The following is a 21,572-nucleotide window of genomic DNA, read 5'->3' on the forward strand; positions in this document are numbered from 1 at the left end:
AAGCATGTGCCGCCACATCCAGCTTATTTTTTGCATTTTCAGTAGAGACGAGGTTTCACCATGTTGGCCCCACTGGTCTCAAACTCCTGACCTCACATGATCCACCCACCTTGTCCTCCTAAAGTGCTGGGATTACAGGCATGAGCCACTGTGCCCAGCTCAGATTTATTAATGTTTGCTTTATATTATATTATATATATATTTTATATATTTACAGCAAACATTAGGTGCTGTAACATTAGGTACATGTGTATTTACAGTTGTTATATCCTCTTGATGAATTGATCCCTTTATCATTATATAATGCCCTTTTTGGTCTCTGTATCGTTTTTTGTTGTTGTTGTTGTTTTTGAGATGGAGTCTCCCTCTGTCACTAGGCTGGAGTGCACTGGTGTGATGTCGGCTCACTGCAATCTCCGCCTCCTGGGTTCAAGCAATTCTCCTGCCTCAGCCTCCTGAGTAGCTAGAACTACAGGCACGCACCACCATGCCCAGCTAATTTTTGTATTTTTAGTAGAGATGGGGTTTCACCATATTGGACAGGCTGGTCTCGAACTCCTGACCTTGTGATTCGACTGCCTCAGCCTCCCAAAGTGCTGGGATTACAGGTGTGAGCCACCGTGCCCAGCCAGTTTTTCACATAAAGTCCATTTTGTCTGATATAAACATAGCTGCTCCTGCTCCTTCAGGATCCCCTACCCCTTGGTGTTTAATCCTCTTAACTCTCTGAAAATGCATTTGTTTAGACATGTTAGTTTGAGTTCCCCAAGAAACAGACTCTGAGACAAGGATTTGAGTGCAAGTAGTTTATTTGGGTTGAGAGTAGGAGAGTTAAAAGTGAAACACTGAGGAAAAGGTGGCCAATAAAGAGTGAATTACTAAGCCAGCTCTCACTGTGGGCAATTGGTACTCAATTCTGTGCAGGAATAATTGGGAGCTGGTGTAGAACACTTACCTCAGAGTTATTCCATCTGAAGAGTGAGGAAATGAGTATTTATACCCTAACTTCTTTAGTCTTTGGCTAAGAGCTGCTCTTGAGGGTATATAGGTGGCAGAGTAGGTTACAGTGATAAGAAAAGCCCTTAGGCCAAATGGAGCTGCTGGTAGTTGGAAACCAAGAGTTGTGGTAAGGAGGGGGGATATATAGGTGGATATTAGCAGCATCCTCTATCCCAGGCTTCTGACTGAGCATTGTGGTTCAATGGTGAGCGCATCATGGTCTCCAGAGTAGACTGACCTGTGTCCAGCACCTGGCAGATATTCCTCAATAGCCTTTAGTTTCATCTCCCTTTAAAAGAACGAGGAAAAATCTATCACTTTTTAAATACGTATTTTAATCTTTCTTTAAAAATCATTTCAAGCACTTTAATCTTCAAGCATTTTTAAGCCAGCACACTTAGAGCTATACCTAAGAGGATCGTTCTTGAGGTGCCGCCTCCTGTTATGTGGCAAACGTAGTAATAGATGTTGGGGATAACAGAAATAAAAGACATGATTCCAGCCCAGAGAAGTTCCTGGGCTAGTGGGTGATTATTAGATGGTTTATCTAGGGATCCTTTTTCAAGTGAAAAGGGACTTGAAGTGAATCATTTAGTCAACAAAAATATGTTTGTAGGTGCTTTAGAATTTGGGTCAAACCTTTTTCAGTTTCAAACCCTAGCTCTGCCTTGTTGGCTGAGTGACATTTGATGAAACAATATTTAGTCTGTCTGAGACTGTATTAGTTCATTTTCACACAGCTATAAAGAACTACCTGAGGCTGGATAATTTATAAAGAAAGGAGGTTTAATTGACTCACAGTTCTGCATGGCTGGGGAGGCCTCAGGAATCTTACAATCATGGTGGAAGGTGAAGGAGAAGGAAGGCAAGTCTTACATGGCAGCAGGAGAGAGAGAGCGAGCGAGCGAGGAGGGACCTGCCAAACACTTTTAAACATCAGATCTCATGAGAACTCACTATCATGAGAACAGCATGGGGGAAACTGCCTCCATGATCCAATCACTTCCCAGCAGGTCCCTCCCTTGACATGTGGGGATTGCAATTTGAGATGATGTTTGGGTGGAGACACAGAGCCAAACCATATCAGAGCCTTAGTTTCCTCAATTGTAAAATGCAATTACTAATACCGACCGCATGGGATTGGGGATTAAATGTAATAACCTTAAAAGATGGACTGTATTTGAGTAGAAGAGATCACAAAGGGATGAGTGAGGAGAGAGTCAATGGACAGGTCACAAAACTATAGTAAGACAACAGAACAAAGATGCAAAAGTGGGTTTGCAGCTGGATCACGGAGGATGTTGAATGTCAAGCTAAAATAGGCCGTGGGGACTTTGCAGCAGACAGTGAGGTTTTAGTGTGTCTCAATCAGAAAGGCTGAAGAAAAAGGCCTTCAGTCTTTACACTGTCATGATATTCTTTGGTGAATGAGCTCTCCACAGGACTTAGAGCTATACCTTTAGGGAGCTTGGTTTTCTGCATCTCTGAACCACCAACTTACAAGTCCTGCATTCATGACTAGGACCATAGAGAACCCTCTTGACATGGTGGAGAATTTGCTTATATGGAAACCTAAGAAGTTGACCCTATTAGGACCAGTCTTGATGCTACCAGTACTGATTCTTAAAATATACATTATTTGCATACATTAGCCACCAGCCCATTTTTAACGTTGGGTGGGGAGGCTAAGGCTCAAGAACATGGTAGTCTCTTAATTATAGGTAGATTTTGTGAGAAGACTTCAGTCCTACAGGAGTTCAGAAATTTTCTCTTATTACCAGTGAACTTAAAGGATTGATGGTAAGACTGATGAAAGAGGACCTTCCACTTAAAAATGGGGAATGTTTGGTTTCCAATTGAGGTCTTACATATGTTTCTTTGATCTTATCATAAGCTGCTCATGTTTCCCACCTGGAGAATGTGTCAGAGGAAGAAATGAACAGACTCCTGGGAATAGTATTGGATGTGGAATATCTCTTTACCTGTGTCCACAAGGAAGAAGATGCAGATACCAAACAAGTTTATTTCTATCTATTTAAGGTGAGATTTTAACATTTTAAAAACATTTTCTCTCATTATTCAAATGTACCCAGTCTCCATATGCCAGGTCGTGGCTGTGAAGGCTTTCAGCTCCTGGTACATTTTGCCCTCAGAGTTTGCTGAACAATACGTTTCTTCATGACTGATTCTCTAAAATGGCCCACCATAGTTTGAACACATCATTCTCTTTGAGGCTTTTACACTTGTATGCAAAGTTGAGTATCTTGGTTTGCATATGCAAATAGATTTTTTCCATCCACCCAACAAATATTTATTGCACATCTGTTCTGCATGTGGCACTAACGTAGGCATGAGGGATAGAACAGTGGACAAAACAGAGTTCTTCCCCTCATGCAATATATATTTCAGCAGAAGAGACAGTCAACAAGTAAATAATACCTTTGCAGGTGGTGATAAGTGTTGGCCGAAGAGAAACAAAGTAGGATAAGTGGAATCAGAATGGCAGGGATGGTGGCGAGTTGGGGACATGCCAGCGAGGAAGGTCAGTTAGGATAGCCTCTCTGAGGAGATGGAAGTTGAGCAGAAACCTGAGTGGGAGATAGGAGCCATCTGTGCAAAGTGCTAGGGGAAGAGACTCCGAGGCAGAGGGAGGAACGGGTATTTTAGGCCGTGCACTAAGAGAGCTTGAAGTGATGTCTGTACAGCAAGGAGGGCAGCGTGGTGGAGCCCAGCGAGCAGAGGGTTGGGTGGGAGGAGATGTAGTTGGAGGAGTGGCTGTAAGTCCTATCTCTAATGCTTTAAGAGGAGAAATCAACATATTCCAAATTTATTTTGGTAACTTAGCCACTGTTACCTGTTTCTCACTGACACCAGTCACCGATTACTGCTGCCATTCCCCGTAGCTGCCTCTTCACTAGTTCTACCTCAGCTCCATGTGGGTCACATCCATTCCCTACTATAGACATACATCTCCTCAAGCTTCTGATTAGAGCCAGGACTAACGATGTGGGAAGGAAACTGGTGGTGGAAATGGATAGCAAAACTTCAGGTTGCCAAAAATAGATCTATAAAGGAGGCTGCCAGAAGGAATAACCTTAAAAAAAAATAAACCTGCTACTGAGGGCATTGTAGATTATGTTGTATTGTGTAACCCTTACAAGGATGTTGAAAGCAAAACAAAAGCACTCAGAGCTTATGGGTAGGAAAAGTTTGCCTCTTCTAATAAGAAGCACTGTGCTTCATTTTATAATAACTCTCCTTCAACTCATTTATATTTATTTGTACTTCATTTTTATATGACAAAAACAGCTAAATTTTCCAGTGAGTTCCCTCTTTTGCTTTGGCTGCTAGGAATCTTAGTGCAAATTTTGTACCCAGTTCCTATAGCTCTTTTCTTTTCTTTGTCTGAACTTATTTGATTCATAATTTTGCCTTTCCCCCTTTTTATTAACTTTTGTCTTTTATTGTACTAATGGGTTTTTTTGGGTGGTTAGGAGATAGGAGTGGGAGGTAGAATTATATTTTTAAAATTTGGTAGATATTAAATTTGGGGATATTAACTTTAAAAAGAATAATAGGAAAGAGAGAGAGAGAGAGAGAGAGAAAGAGAGTGGGGGAAGAGAGAGAATATGAACAGCTGGATTCCCCACAGCCATTAGCAGGCACTGGACCACTTTAGGCATCCAGGTGACAACTTGTTGACATGGCTGTGAGGTTTGAGTCATTCAGCTCGAACCCTGGCAGGTTCATAGTGTTTAGAGCTTCTTTGGAAAAAGATCTTAGTTGAAGAAAAACAAGGTCTGCCTGACTACAGCTATTATTTGTCTTGGAACTGTGCTCCCTGGCAGCTCCCCACTACCCTGTTGGAAGTGAAGGTGGTGTCAAGGTTTCCATCCTGTCAGCCTCTATTTAGTTTATAACCAACCAAACAAGCCAGAAAGCATTGCTCTGCTTTAAAGTACATCTTCTCTCTCTTTCTTCCCTCCTTCATCTTAAAATAACAGTGCAAATATATTTGCTTGTGGAAACACAATCCAAAATATTCAGCATTCTCCCCACCTCCTGCAAAAAGTATTATTCTTGGGCAAATAAGTTATAAATAATCTATTCCTTAGCTTCTGAAAGGCAATTCCTAAAAACAAAACAAAAATAATGATTAAAATTTTTTTTTAATTTTAACTTTTTTGAGACAGAATCTTACTCTGTCATCCAGGCTAGAGTGAAGTGGTGTGATCTCAGCTCACTGCAACCTCCACCACCTGAGTTCAAGTGATTCTCCTGCCTCAGCCTCCTGAGTAGCTGGGATTACAGGTGTGTGCCGCCATGCCCGGCTAATATTTGTATTTTTAGTAGAGATGGGGTTTCACATTGTCGGCCACGCTTGTCTTGAACTCCTAGCCTCAAGTGATCTCCCCCCTCGGCCTTCCAAAGTGCTGGGATTACAGGCATGAGCCACTGCATCTGGCCCATGATTTTTTAAAAAGAAAAAAAGAGAAAGGCAGTTCCTGTGTCTCATGTGTCAATAATTAAAGTAAAAATGTGTTACATATTTTAGTAGAATTAAAAAATTTCAGTCTTAGTCTGGGCACGGTGGCTCACAACTGTAATCCCAGAACTTTGGGAGGCTGAGGCAGGCCCATTACCTGAGGTCAGGGGTTCAAGACCAGCCTGGCAAACATGGTGAAACTCTGTCTCTATAAAAATACAAAAATTAGCCAGGTGTGGTTGTGTGTACCTGTAAATTCCAGCTACTTGAGAGGCTGAGGCAGGAGAATTGCTTGAGTCCGGGATGCAGAGGTTGCCATGAGCTGAGATCATGCCACTGCACTCCAACCTGGCCGACAGAGTGAGACAACGTCCCAAATTAAAAAAAAAAAAAAGTCAGTCTTAGATGTTGAACATAAACCCAATGGAAAGCTGCGTCCTAAAGTTGAAGTATATCTTAGTGCTTACAAATGTGGCGCTGGAGTCTAACTACCTGGGTTTAAAACTTTGCTCTATCACTTACTAAATGTGACTTTGGGCAAGTTAATCTGCCTTGTTAGTAGTAGCACCTACCTCAAAAGGTTGTAAGTATTAAATGAGATAATATATGTGAAGAACCATGAAGATTGTCTGTTGAAATTAAGGATGCAAATGCCTGCTGCTATTAAGAACTTTTTTTTATATGCACACTTATCCCAGCTTCATCATCTTATAGATAAACTGAAGTTCAACATCTCCACAATCCATCAGTTTACCTCCAAATTGAAACCCCCAAATGGGCCAAGTTCCTAAATGGTCTTATTTTAACTGGGGAAAAAAAGTAAGCAACCAGAATTATTTGTATTTAATTTTTATGACCAATCTTTAGATATTCTTAGAAACATATACAATGACTTATCTTTATTGCTAATTTGCTTTTATAAAGATGGGCATAATACTTGAAAGGATGAACAGATGCCCCATACTCATAATTTGTATGGCACCCCTGGAAGGAGTTGAGGTCCTTGTAAGACACAGTTCAGTGGTGAGACATGGTCATCTTCAATCTTGGTGGTTCATCAGGTTCCATTTACCCCTGAGAGAATGGTTTCCATGTTTTGTTTCTACTGAAAAGGCAGTAAGCGAGAAAGGAGGGAAAGATGTTACTTAAATAAATGTGTGGCCATATCTAACTGACCCACATGTAAAAGTTACAGAAGATTCAAGCAAAGATCGAAGGTAAAGAATTTCAATATCAAATTTATTTTCTGCGTTGTTCTTGGTAAGTGGCTCTGTGTTCCCTTTTCTGTTTGCTCTTTGAGAGCTTTAAATTCCAGTGGCAGGAATTAAGAGCAGTGTTTTTGTTTTGTGGGCATTGAGATGCCAGAACAGTTGGCCTGCATTCTACGGATGGAAGGGAAATGAAAAAAAGACTGTAACAGTGAAAGTTGCCCATTTAGAGCTCTGCAGACTTTCTTCCTAAAGAGCCTGTGCCCTAGATGATGCGTATGCCGTGCAGCTGCTGTAGACAGCTCCTGTCCCCTGGCCTCTTTTGTGCAGAATAGATCTTGGTCTCTCACGTCTTTAAATAAGATCCTCTAGAGCTTCAGCACACCTATAGTGGCCTGGATGGGCATGTGCCAAGTGTGTAGGGTTGCATACCAGGCCTCTGGGTCAATGGAAAGCCAGAAACAGTGGGGAGAAGAGGGAAGTGCATGGGACGGTGGTGTCTGTTGGACCAGCATGGGTGGCCTAGGCTGCCCAGAACATGAAAGGTGTCCATTTCTTCATAACTCTGGCCGTGGACATGAAGGCCAATTTGGGTTACCTGATAGTTGCCCATTTTATTGACTTAAGGATTTGTTTATATATAGTTAAGATAAATAGAATATGGTAACTTCCTTTAAAGGCTGTGTGTGTGTGTGTAAGAGAGAGAGAGAGAGACAGACAGAAACAGAAGAGAGAGGAGAGAGAGATAGACATACCAATTAAGTTTTTCTTTTTCTTTTTTTTAATGATTTCTTTGCAGCTCTTGAGAAAGTCTATTTTACAAAGAGGAAAACCTGTGGTTGAAGGCTCTTTGGAAAAGAAACCCCCATTTGAAAAACCTAGCATTGAACAGGTAAAAAGATTTTAAAAGCCCTCTTTTTATTGGCTCAAGGCTGAAGAAATCTTTTAATCCTCCTTTTATATCTCTATCTACGGCTTCCCTCCTCCATACCCAGGTTAGAGATGTTTACCAGTCTGTGGAAATTGTCCTGGAGGCTTTGGATCAGAGGTGTATACCTAATTTAATACATGATCTAGCTTTTGCCTTTTAGGGTTGTTACATACTCACAGTTTACTGTGTGTTTGGGGAAGAAAAACATTAAGTAGAACATGTAGTTTGTAAGAAGAACACATGAAATGTGCTTTTTCTTGTTGTTGGTGCTTTAAAATGAAGTCTTTGTCCATTTGCTTGGCACTGTCTGAGAAAGCCTATTGAGGTGAGGGGATTTAGTAGCAATGTGAAAAACATTGTAAGTCAAGCAAAAAAAGCAAAAAAGAAATGAGATTTTGTACCCAGAAATGGACTTCCTGCTACATTATGATTCCTGGAAAGAAGCCGTTTTACTCAGGGAATCTGTTAAAATGTAAAGAGTTTTTCTGTTAGGTGTTGTCAGTATCTCTCATTAGCATCACTTTTTTAGCCTTTGATTGTTTGGCTAAACAAAAACACTCTGGACTGAATTTTTTGATGAGAATGACTACTGAAGTCATGATACCAGAATCCTTAAAAATAAATGCATTTTTATCAGTCAGTTTTCAGTAAATTTTATTTTGCCTCCAAACTCTATTAAATAAGAATTCATTGCTCTTTTATTTGAAATTAGATGAGATGGAAATATTCTGTAGAAAGATTAAATTAACAGTTTTTTTAAAAGCCCATAATTTTGAATGATATATATATTTTGGTAAGCTTATTGACTTCAAACAAATGATAGTAAAGAGTTTAAATTTTAGTTGTTTAGTTCAGTGGTAGGCATGATAGCAGGTTTTTGATTAGCATTTTTGTAATGTAAAAACAATATTTATCTAAGAACTGCATTATATGTGGGCTACTCTGCTGATAGTAAAGCAATAATTATTCTGCACAACAGTCATATTTTCTTGTTTCAGGGGTTTTGACCTTTTCAGTCCATGGTTTTGATTTTCTCCTTAATGCTTCAGGATTTCAGCAGGCGTAGAATCACAACTCACAGCCTCTCTGTCTTGTCACTTTTCATCCACCGTGATCTGAGGCAAGATTCCCTCTGGGGATTGCTATTTTCTTTTAGGGAAAAGGAAGAGATTTTTGTGAATAGAGAAATGTCTGTTATTTTGCTAATAACCACCAATCATGCTGGCTGTGTGGGTGTTCAGAATTAGTATGATTGCATAGCTGCATGAAGAAATTGCCTTCCCTCTTTTTAAGGGTGTGAATAACTTTGTGCAGTACAAATTTAGTCACCTGCCAGCAAAAGAAAGGCAAACAATAGTTGAGTTGGCAAAAATGTTCCTAAACCGCATCAACTATTGGCATCTGGAGGCACCATCTCAACGAAGACTGCGATCTCCCAATGATGATATTTCTGGATACAAAGAGAACTACACAAGGTAATCAGATGCAAGTTCTTTTCCTTTGGCCCCATAAAGCCTGTTACAGACCTAAAATTGTACTTGACTCTATAAGTATAGGGCTGCCTAGTTATCATTATGACTCCATCAATTCAGAGATAATGTCTTTATAATTTAACTTGCAAACTCCTGCTTTTCATTGCTATCATAATATGTTGAGGTGTGAGGGATGTAAATCATCTATACCCAGTGTGATAGCCACTAGCTATATGAGCACTTGAAAATGTGGCTAGTTTGAATTGAGATTTCTATGATTGTACCAAAAAGGAGTTTAAAATTGCTCATTAATACTTTTAAAATATTGATTACATGTAGAAATGATAGTACATTGGATACATTGGATTAAATAAAATATATTGAAGTTAATTTTACCTGTTTTTACCATTCCAGTGTGGCTACTAGAAAATTTAAAATCCATATGTGGCTTGTGTTATTTATCTATTGAATATAGTTGACTAGATAGCTACACTATAACTCTGAAATTAATTAGAGCCCTCACTCAAAAAATGCAATGACCATATAATGAAGTTAAAGAATTTTTTTTAGGCTGGGCATGGTGGCTCACACCTGTAATCCTAGCACTTTGGGAGTCTAAAGTGGGTAGATCACTTGGGTCAGGAGTTCAAGACCAGCCTGGCCAATATGGTGAAACCCCATCTCTACTAAAAATACAAAAATTAACTGGGCATGGTGTCACGTGACTGTAATCCTGGCTACTTGGGAGGCTGAGGCAGGAGAATCACTTGAACCCTGGAGGCAGAGTTTGCAGTGAACTGAGATCGTGCACTCTGGGCAACAGAGCAAGACTCTGTCTCAAAAAAAAAATTTTTTTTAAAGGAAAGATTAGCTTAGTTCCAGAACTGTGATGGAACTGACATCATTATACATATTATCTTCCAGGTTTTGTCCTTTTAAATAACATTTTACATTAGTTATAATGAAAGAAAATGTAGAATTTTGTAGCCTTTATGTCTCTTCACTTAATATCATATCAAACATTTCACAGGTTACATTATAGTCCATTGAGTTGATTTACCACAATTTACCTAACCATTTCTCTATTGCTGGACATTCAAACTCTGCAGATAGTCTTGGATTGAACATATATTTTCTTCTAAAGTGGAAATTTATTTTTATTGCTTATTACTTGCAGAATAACAGAATTGGTTTTACAAATCTTAAACTTGTACCATACAAAATATAAGGACCTACATTTATTTTCATCTGAAGGACTGTGACTTGGGTCATCCATTCTTTTCAACTTTTTTATAACTTTTCTATAACTTTTCTCTGTTTATATTTCAGAGGCACATCAAGCTTGCATTAGGGAGCTTTAGTGCCTACTTTTTTCCTGATTTAAAGTGGGCAGTAGTATCTTTTGATAGCCTGTCAAGACCACTTGTGCCCAGGTTATTTTCTGTAACAGCAGATAACATGGAAGAATTGTATAATTTAAAATAAGCTTTCCTCTCTGACATTGACCTAGTTTCATGTGTAACACACCCTTTTCCTCTCTTTCTCTTCACTTTTGCAAATATATGCAATTTCAGTTATAAAGTATTTTCTCCTTAATAATTGATATTTATAGGAATTGCAGATTTCTTCAAAATAAGTTTTTAAATTATATCTTCATTTCCGTATCTTTCATTTTAGGATTTTACATTAACAATAGTTCTGTATTATTGAAACTCTGCTATATTATTGAAACTCTTGTTTATAATAAGAGTTGAGACGATAAGTCTCTCAAAAATATGTATTTTTTAATCCCGTCTGTGAACAATTGACAAAGCTGAATATTTGTCAAAGCCAGGGCCCTGAATGCATTTGCGACTTTTAGCAGAGAAAATAATCGTTTCATCAAGAAAAAGGAGAATTAATTGTGAAGCAGCTTGGGAGACATTAGTATATTTTGTTTTATTTTTATTTTTATTTTTTTTAGAGATGGTGTCTTATTCTGTATCCTGGGCTGGAGCGCAGTGGCATGATCATAGCTCACTGTAGCCTCAACCTCCTAGACTCAAGCAATTCATCTATCTCAGCCTCCTTAGTAGCTGGGACTACAGGCACATGCCACCATGCCTGGCTATTTGTTTATTTTTTATAGAGATGGGGTCTCGCTGTGTTGCCCAGGCTGGTCTCAAACTCCTGACCTCAAGCAATCCTCCCACCTTGGCCTCCCAAAGTGCTGAGATTACATGTGTGAGTCACTGTGCCCAGCTATGATATTTTAGAAAACAGAAGAAAAATGCAAGGCAGCCTTTGAGAATTACTAAGAAATTGGTGGCACTTATGAATACTTAAGAAGTAGTAAAAATGGAAATTGGTTTGGATGAGTGCTGGGTTTGAATGGTGTGGGTCCATCTCTCCCTTTTTACATGAGCTTTAGACCAGTCTCTGGTCTAAAGAGACTTTTGGTTTCTTTCTCTGTCCAAGTGTCATGACTTTTGTGAGTATTCCATGGGTGGTTTGTATGTAGTTTCTGACACACAGAGCAGGTGCTGGGAAGATGCTCATCATCATTTTCCTCCCATGCACATTGTTCTCTAAAACTCAGTCACTGCCAATGTGGAGCTTATTAAGCTAAAGCCTTAAATGTATAATTGAGTGAGTGTGTAATTATTTGAATATCGCTTTAGAAATTAAGATAGCAGGGAATAGAAAAACAGCAAAAGAGTCCTTTATAGCCCAGCCTCCTGAGCCAACAGCTGAAGGCAAAAAGTGGAGTCAGACAATGGGAAAGAGAAACTTGCTGAGAGAAACAGAAATGAATATGCCCTAATGAGTTCTGAAACGTGCTGATTTCTAGGTGAAATGTAGACCAATAGCCCCTATTAATAATAAATAAGGAAATGAAGGTAGATGACACCAACCTCCCCCACGTCCCCACCATCACGTCATGTTGATGAGGAAAGGGAAGTAGAGAGGAACAACCTGTGAAAATTAGGAGAATCAATATTCGGAGTAAAACCTCACTGCCATGACCACATGGGGAATTAAAAAAACCACATACCACCACAGCATGATGTCTCACTGATACTGATCTTCTCAAAAATGGGTAATATTACTGGCTGCAGGCACCAGCAGGCTTTATCTTGATGTTGCTGTAAGAGAACCTCAGGACCTATAACGCTGGTTCAGCTTATAACTTACAGCAGTTACTGTAAATATTAGAACAAAGATGTGCCGAAAATGTTTGCAGTATATCAGTCTGAAAATGAAGTTAAACAGGATTCTTTGTGGAAAAGACTGGACTTAGAAAATGATTGTGTTCATTACAGAGCTAACTTGTAAATATTTATTCCATAAAAATTAAAAGCAGACTGAACAGTAGTACTGCTTAAATTACTTCTCTGTTCTGAAGAAAAGAAAAATATAAGTATTCTTTTTTTGTTGTTTTTTTGTTTTTTTTTTTTTTGAGATGGAGTCTCACTCTGTTGTCCAGGCTGGAGTGCAGTGGCGCGACTCAGCTCACTGCAACCTCCACCTCCTGAGTTCAGGCGATTTTCCTGCCTTAGCCTCCCAAGTAGCTAGGATTACAAGTGCGTGCCACCATGCCTGGCTAATTTTTGTATTTTTAGTAAAGATGGGGTTTCACCATGTTGGCCAGGCTAGTCTCGAACTCCTGACCTCAGGTGATCTGCCTACCTCGTCCTCCTAAAGTGCTGGGATTAAAGGCGTGAGCCACCTTGCTCAACCTAAATATTGTTACATAAGTGTATGTTAACTGTACCTTATATATACTCCCAGGAGCAATTGTGGTTATAGAAAAAAATGTGGGCAAATATTTTGAAGTTCCTGAATTTCATGATAGTACACTATTTAATTCCATGAAGAAATAACCTAAAAAGAAAGTGTCACAGGATTATGACTTCTTAAAATACAACTGTCCAACAGTCTGCTGAAGGAAAGTGCAAGTAATTAGTCTTAGATTTTGAATTGTGTAGAACTTTTGAAAGTTAAAGCTTACCCCCACACTGGGGAGATGTTTCATAAGAATACAGAGTGGCTGTGTGCAGTAGCTGATGCCTGTAATCCCAGCAACTTTGGGAGGCTGAGGCGAGAGGATCGCTTGAGCCCAGGAGTTTGAGCCCAGCCTGGGCAACAGAATGAGACTTCATCTCTACAAAAATAAAAATAAAAAACTAGCTGGGTGTGGTGGCATGTGTCTGTGGTGGCATGAGCCTGTGGTCCCAGCGACTCTGGAGGTTGAGGTGGGAGGATTGCTTGAGCCCGGGAGGTCAAGGCTGCTTGGAGCTGTCCATGATCCTACCACTGCACTCCGGCCTGGGTGACAGAGCACGACCCTGTCTGAAAAAAAAAAAAAAAAAAGAAGAAGAAGAAGAAAAAGAATACATAGCAAGTTAGCTAGAACTAACTTGTTTTTGGGAAACAGTTTTATTTAGCCATTCTTCTATGATGTACAGCCTATTGCCATGTATACTGAGCATTCATTATTAGACATGTAAGTCTAGAACAGATTTATCAGGAAGCATGGAAAGAACACTAGGAAACAGGAGATCTGACTTCTAGTCTGGACTTTAATTAAGTAACTGGGCCTCAGTCCCTGTGAACTAGGGCAGATCAGTTTATTCCTGAAAACCACAGGATTTTCAGTTCAGCAAGTCAGTAGAATGACATGGTCTTCTGTGTTCACATTTTTAATTTCTGTTCACAGAAGTTACAAATCATCATCATGATGTGAAAAATCTGGGAGTTATTTGAACAGTAAGAAAATAGCATGCAAATACCATCTTTATTAGACATACAAAAATGAACGAACTATCATTTTGCTTCTTTTTAGTAGACCCGAAATCAGTCATGTAGGTAAAATCTTTTCTACAGTTACTTCTTTGGAGGAATACATGTGCTCATGCACGTCCGTTTCCTTCTTTCTGTCTCACTGTGTGCAATAATAATATCAATCAATTTATTAAAACAACACCAGAAGTACACACACACACACACACACACACACATTCTGTCTCTCTCACACACACACACATTGACTCAGCCTCATTGTCTTAATCTACAGTGAATTTAACAGAGTACAAAATAAGATTAATCTTGGAAGTTAAGAAAAAGCTGAAAAGTATAAATTGAGGTCTATAAAATGACTTTGAGGAAATGAATGAAAGCCCATTATTTGAACATTTTTACTAGCTAATAACAATCTATGCTGTCTTCTACCCTGGGAAGATTGAATAACCTGTTAAAGCACTTTTGGATAACTTTTTAGGATTTTATGATAATATTTATAACCTATCATCTTTGTATCAGAAATAATGTCAGTCTTAGAGCCTTAGACGTTTGCAGATCTCTCCTCAGATGGAAATGCTGTTTAGACTCTAAATCAGCACTGTCCAGTAGATATATAATATGAGCCAAAAATGCAAGCCAGATATATAATTAAAAATTTTCTAGTAGCTACGTATAAAATGAATAGATATAAGAAATTATTCTGAATTTTATGTGTATATATATATATATATGTATATATATATATATATATATATATATATATATATATTTTTTTTTTTTTTTTTTTTTTTTTTTTTTTTTTTGAGACGGAGTCTTGCTGTGTCTCCCAGGCTGGGGTGCAGTGGTGCAATCTTGGCTCACTGCAACCTCCACCTCCTGGGTTCAAGCCATTCCCGTCTCTGCCTCCCGAGTAGCTGGGATTACAGGCATGCGCCACCACAGCTGGCTCATTTTTGTATTTTTAGTAGAGACGGCGTTTCACCATGTTGGCCAGGCTGATCTCGAACTCCTGACCTTAAGTAATCTGCCCTCCTCGGCCTCCCAAAGTGCTGGGATTATAGGCATGAGCCACCAGACCTGGCCAATAATATATATATTTTTTACCCAATATATAAAAAATGCCATTTCAGCTGGGAGCGGTGGCCCACGCCAGTAATCCTAGCACTTTGGGAGGCCAAGGCGGATGGATCACTTGACGTCAGGAGTTCAAGACCAGCCTGGCCAACATGGTGAAACCCTGTCTCTATTAAAAATACAAAAATTAGCCAGGCATGGTGGCGGGCACCTGTAATCCCAGCTACTTGGGAGGCTGGGGCAGGAGAGTTGCTTGAATGGGGAGGTGGAAGTTGCAGTGAGTCGAGATCATGCCATTGCCCTCCAGCCTGGGGCACAGAGCAATACTATGTCTCAAAAAAAAAAAAAAAACCACAAAAACAAAAAACCCACAAAAATATAATTTCACCATGTAACCATTGTGAAAAATTATTAAGGATGTATACTTACTTTCTTAGTACTGAGTCCTTCAAACCTCCAAATCCAGTGTTTATTTTGCTTTTTCCTTTTTTTTTTTTTTTTTTTTGAGTTGGAGTCTTGCTGTGTTTCCCAGGCTGGAGTGCAGTGGTATGATCTGAGCTCACTGCAACCTTCGCCTCCCAGGTTCAAACGATTCTCCTGCCTCAGGCTGCCAAGTAGCTGGGACTACAGGCGCCTGCCACCATGCCTGGCTAATGTTTATATTTTTTAGTAGAGATGGGGTTTCATCATGTTCCCCAGGCTGGTCTTGAATTCTTGACCTCCGGTAATCCACCTGCCTCAACTTCCCAAAGTCCTGGGATTACAGGTGTGAGCCACTGCACCCGGCCAAATCCAGTGTGTATTTTTCACACATCTTAATTCAGTAGCTAAATTTTAAACAATTAAAACTAAATGGAGTCCTACTAGAACAATCAAGTTGTGTTTAATGGGAAAACATTTTACACTGTTTCCATTTAAAAGTAAAATTGAAATTGATTAAATAAAATTAAAAGTTAAACTCAGTCATACTAGCCACATTTCAAGTGCTCAATAGTTACCAATGGCTGGTGGCTACTGTATTGGATAGCAGAGACATAGAATCATCCCCATCATCAGTGAAAGCTTTATTGGACAATAAATCTTTAAACCTTTCATTGCAGAAGATTGGACATATTTTGTTATTTTTAAAATTTAGGATCTGCATAACAACATTTTAGTCAGCAATGGACCACATATAATGACAGTAGTCCTTTAAGATTATGCCAAAATTTTGCTGTACCTTTCCATGTTTAGGTATATTTAGATATACAAATACTTACCATTATGTTACAGTCGTTTGTAGTATTCAGTACAGTAATATGCTGTAGAGGTTTGCAGCCTAAGAGCAATAGACTAGACCATAGAGCAGGGGTCCCCCACCCCTGGGCCATGGTCCACCATAGGTCCGTGGCTCATTAGGAACCGGGCTGCACAGCAGGAAGTGAGTGGTGGGCGAGTGAGCATTACAGCCTGAGCTCCACCTCCTGTCAGATCAGTGGTGGCATTAGATTCTCATAGGAGCCTGAACTCTATTGTGAACTGTGCATGTGAGGGATCTAAGCTGTACATTCTTTCTGAGAGTCTAATGCTTGATGATCTGAGGTGGAACAGTTTCATCTGGAAACCATCCCTTCTACCCCCAGCCATGGAAAAATTGTCTCTCATGAAAGCAATCCCTGGTGCCAAAAAAGTTGGGGACCTCTGCCATAGAGCCTAGGTGCCAAGTGTGTAGTAGGTTCTACCATCTAGGTTTGTGTAGGTACACTCTCCAGTGTTTGCACAATGATAAAATCACCTGACTCATTTCTCAGAATGTATTCCCGTTGTTAAGCAAGACATGAAAGACATGACCATATTAATTCTTACAGATAGTCTTGTGATTGCCTAAGTCTCACGAAATTGAACTTCTGATTATGAAGATCTGTGACTGTTTAACTCTATGGTTTCATTACTAGTTATTTGATCTGACTTCCCCTCAGCCCCAGATAGATAGATAGATAGATAGATAGATAGATAGATAGATAGCATGTCAGTGTCTCATTCTGTCACTCTGTCACCCAGGCTGCATTGCAGTGGCACAATCATAGCTCACAGCAGCCTAGAACTCCTAGGTTCAAGTGATCCTACCTCCTCAGCCTCCCAAGTAGCTAGGAATATAGGTATGTGCCAATACATCTGGCTGATTTTTAAACTTTTTGTAGAGATGGGCGTCTTACTATGTTGCCCAGGCTGGTCTTGAACTCCTGGGCTCAAGCGATCTTCCTGCTTGGGCCTTCCAAAGCACTGGGATGACTGGTGTAAGCCACCATGCCATGCCTAGCCAGCCCATTCTTTTAACTTAATTAAGTGGCCACAGACTAACATCTAGCAAACAATTGGCTTTGAAAGCAATGAATTTCTATATGAAGCACCTTATGAATTACAAAATAAATGCACTTTATAATTTTTTTCTGCTACCAAGATCACTGTTTCAGACAAAAGACAACATTAACACTTAAGATACCCATTTCAGTATTGTAAACATAAACAACATTTGGGTGTAAATTATTAAAGGAAAAAAGTTGAGAGAAGACATAGAAATAGTAGCAGAAATTTTAGGTTAATTTTTAATGTAGGCAGATGAACTAACACTAATGAAAGCTTTTTCTCCAAAGGTGAACCACTGCCACAGCCACCACCATTTCCACCACTAGCACACATACAGGCAAAATATTTTATAATGCAGAATAAGATTTAAAAAAAAAAGTCAGGAGCATGAATAAATTAATATTATTCCTCTCTTCATTAAAGGGCTCAAAGTTCATTGGGAGCTTTTTGTAGCAGCTTGGGCGCATTAGAAAGCTGTCTCCCATTTGAAAGGAGAACAGGAAAGCACATAGGGAGGAGAGGTTTGATTTTTGGAAGGCAGTCCTTTCCTAGAAGAGGATGATTTGGGTCTGCTCTGAAGGAATAAGAATCTGTGGAATAATGCTTTTTGACCTTTTCCTCGTTTGGTGCCACCCTCCATGGCTACCACTGTTATATTTATGTTTTTGGGTCCTGGGAAATTCACATCTTCACTTCTGGGAGATAAAAAAAAAATAGGGTTGTCTCAGTTTGGTAGCTCATGCCTGTAATCACAGCACTTTGGGAAGCCGAGGTGGGTGGATCTCTTTAGTCCAGGAGTTCGAGACAATCCTGGGCAACATAGTGAAACCCCGTCTTTACAAAAAATAAGAAAAAATTAGCCACATGTGGTGGTGCATGCCTGTGGTCCCAGTTGTTTGGCAGGCTGAGGTAGGAGGGTCACTTGAGCCCAGGAGGTAGAGGTTGCAGTGAGCCGAGATTGTACCACTGCACTCCAGCCTTGGTGACACAGTGAGACCCTGTCTCAAAAAAAAAAAAAAAAAAAGAAAGAAAAAGAAAGAAAAAGAGGTTTATTTTTGAATAGACTTTTACTCTCCACTGTATGTTGGCCGAATGCACTTTCTAAATTAGATGACCTGTATTGTCAGTGTACCCTAGAACTGTGGTCACATCTCAAGAAAAGTCCTGGCTTCCCTCTGGTCTGGGTCCTCCTCCAGCGTCGTGCAGTGATGCTGAGGTGCATTTTTGACTTTGAGTCTGAGTCGTTGAAAAATGTACCTAGGCGACAAATGGTAGAAGCTTAATACTTCCTACATTTTTGACTGAGTTTTAAACAGTCCTGAAGATCATTATCTTCCCACCAAACCTCCGATAAGTGCTGTGTAGGCATTTTAAATAAATCTTACATTTTACTCAAAGGACTAGGTGGTTAATTCTGATTCTTTCACAAAAGGGTCTTCCTCAGCTTCTCCTTTAATTTTTTCTTTTATCTAAACTACCATTAATGTGCCAGTAACTCCAGTTATACTATGCATTTTATATACAGTATTTCATTTAATGCTCACAAGAACCCAATGAAGTAGGTATTATTGTTGTCCCCATTTTACAGGTAAGGAAGGAAAGGCTAAATAGCGTAATCAAATTTTCAAAGTTATGCAGCTAGTTAAGTGACACAGCTGGAATTTGATCCCAGGGGCTGTTTCATTCCAGGACTCACTGTATGATGCTGCAGAATAAGGTGATTTTAACAGAATTAGACACAAGTGGTGATGTAAGGGTAATCTAATTGCATTCCCAAGTTTCACTAGCTGGCAGGGATATTGTTGCTTGTTATTGCAGGCCTAGTTTTTTTCTGCTATAGTTAATAGTACGAGATAAACATAATTGAATATTTCTGATGACCTGGGGGTTTATGGGATATTGATGGTGCTTGACTTCTCTTGTCACAGGTGGCTGTGTTACTGCAACGTGCCACAGTTCTGCGACAGTCTACCTCGGTACGAAACCACACAGGTGTTTGGGAGAACATTGCTTCGCTCGGTCTTCACTGTTATGAGGCGACAACTCCTGGAACAAGCAAGACAGGAAAAAGATAAACTGCCTCTTGAAAAACGAACTCTAATCCTCACTCATTTCCCAAAGTAAGGGAGAGTTTTTGCTGGTCTTTGTTTGATCCCAGAGCTTGAGGTTGCTAAATACAATGCCAAAGCCTGCATAAATAACAAGATCGGAAATGACAGAAGAAACATTCCAAGGGGATGGGAGAAAAGACCCTCAGTTCCCTTTGTGAATCTTCTTGGGTATTTTCCAGTCCATTTATTAGCCTGACTTTGGGTTGACTGCCGTCATTGCTCCCTTATCCCCTCCTCGTCCTACCTGAGTCATTGTCTCTGACTCACATAGAATGGGGCAGTGCTTTCTTTTGTATATTCAGCGGCCAGGAAGCTCTAGGACGATGAGGGAGAATGTTTAGGTACATTTTCCAGCCACTCAGAAATGGTGCAAAAGAGCTCAAGTGGCTTTTTTTTTTTTTTCCGTTCAATTTCTCCAACTTTTTCCAAGCACTGGTGAACCATCCCTGCCTCAGCTATAGTAGACTTGCCCCCACTCTTTGGAAACTAGACTGCAAAAGCAGGGATGAAGAGGAATAGAGAGCTCCTTCAGCGTGATGAACCTCTATACTAAATTTCTTGTAGAATAGGCATACTTTGGTGCTCCTTGCTTCTTGCACCTGTCAGAGCTCCAAGGCATAAATGATCATTTAAATATTTTAAATGGAAGGAAATGCTGCAAAGCAATAGAAAGTTGCAGTGCTGCACCATTGGCCTTGGAAATGCATTTTTAATGCTAAAAACCAAAAATTTAAGCTAAGCGGTTGGATGCTGGTGGGATAGGCCAAGGGTGCAGTTGATGACTTCTCATGGAGCAGTAACAGCGAGAAATGAATGAGACAGTTCATTCTGTGATTATCATTCCGCCTAGATCAGCGCTTGGTCAGGAAGGTAAAAGGCGTAATTTGAAAAGGCTGGCTAGGTATGATATAGCCTTCCTTCCCCATGCCATTCTGAACTGCTGATGTAGAGAATAGAATTTGAGAGGAAATATTCTTTGATCAAAGATTGATGAAACACTGTTTTGTTTGAGAAACTAGATTTTTATTATTCAGATAGTGTTATTAGATTATGGAATTTTTGTCTCAGTGAAGATAGAGTTTTAATTCATAACAATAAGTTAGGTTCAAAACAACAAAAATAAAATGGTTTTCTGACAGAAATTGACTGAAGATTCCTTGGCAGTTTAACCCAAATCCTAAACCTTAGATAGATGTCATGGGTAATTCTGATGGGCTTTGGCCAAACACCCAATATTTGCACATATATTTCAACAACCTGATTGTCAAATTTTTCTTTAGAGAACCAGTACATGAGACTAAGTCATGACATGAACATTTTGTTGTCCTCTGTGGAGGGAGATTCTGAAGCACTTAAACTGCAGTTTGGATGTTGCTCCCAAAATGGGTTATGAAATTAGGGCACACTCATGTATTTCAGTGTCTTTTAACTGATGTAAGCTCCTTTCCTTAGAGATTGAAGCAGTTTTCTTACTTATGTATCTATTACATTTGCCATATAAGCAGCATTTTATGTTTTCAGGTAATAGTTGTCATTCTGTCTCTGAGTCAAGGTACAAAGAAGACTCCTCCCTTCCCAACACCTGTTATGGTATTTAAAGAGAAATTTTAGTTACTTTGCATAATAAATTTTTTTCCCATAACAAATTCATTTTGCTTCTTGCAGGTATTTGCTAATTATAGTGTGTTTTGTTCCCTCAGCCCATAGTTCTGGCATGCTTATGCTAGGAGCTAAAACATCAATGCTGCCTTCTTTTCTTCTCTATTACTAATGGTGGGGTAAAACTACCACCCACTTCTCCTTTTAAATCCTTTTCACCGAATATGACAACATTTAAGGCTATTGGGGATTTATACCTACAGTTTTGGCAGCAGAACCACACATGTTGAAGCCTGAGGTATTATTTGAGTCTTGGGCACTGTTTCAGAGTGAGAGCTGGGACCGGCTTCCCAGCACCCAGGGAGGTCTCTGCAATTCTCAGATGTGTTTTCAGGGCTTACATTCTTATCTTCCTATTCTTCATATGTGCTGCCTTTTTTTCCACTTGGCTTTAATGTGTGCCTCTTTCCCCATTCACCTATTTACAAAGTGTTTTTGTTTTTGTTTTTAAGTTGTGTATCTATATTTCATTCTAAAAGTGAAGAAAATTTGGTTCAGGGAAAA

At 39.5% G+C, this 21,572-nt stretch overlaps 1 protein-coding gene across 3 annotated transcripts in view; it reads left to right on the forward strand.

Annotated features, from left to right (window-relative positions):
* Positions 1 to 21,572, forward strand: part of KAT2B (lysine acetyltransferase 2B) — a 113,959-nt gene that overhangs the window by 51,924 nt on the left and 40,463 nt on the right. For all 3 annotated transcript variants that reach the window (XM_047449147.1, NM_003884.5, XM_005265528.5), the window contains 4 exons: positions 2,894 to 3,039; positions 7,493 to 7,585; positions 8,918 to 9,099; positions 19,227 to 19,418. In XM_047449147.1, coding sequence (XP_047305103.1) covers positions 2,894 to 3,039; positions 7,493 to 7,585; positions 8,918 to 9,099; positions 19,227 to 19,418 — 613 coding nt within the window. The remainder of the gene's footprint in view (positions 1 to 2,893; positions 3,040 to 7,492; positions 7,586 to 8,917; positions 9,100 to 19,226; positions 19,419 to 21,572) is intronic.

The sequence above is a fragment of the Homo sapiens genome, chromosome 3, assembly GCF_000001405.40.
Source record: "Homo sapiens chromosome 3, GRCh38.p14 Primary Assembly".
Taxonomy (NCBI): Eukaryota; Metazoa; Chordata; class Mammalia; order Primates; family Hominidae; genus Homo; species Homo sapiens.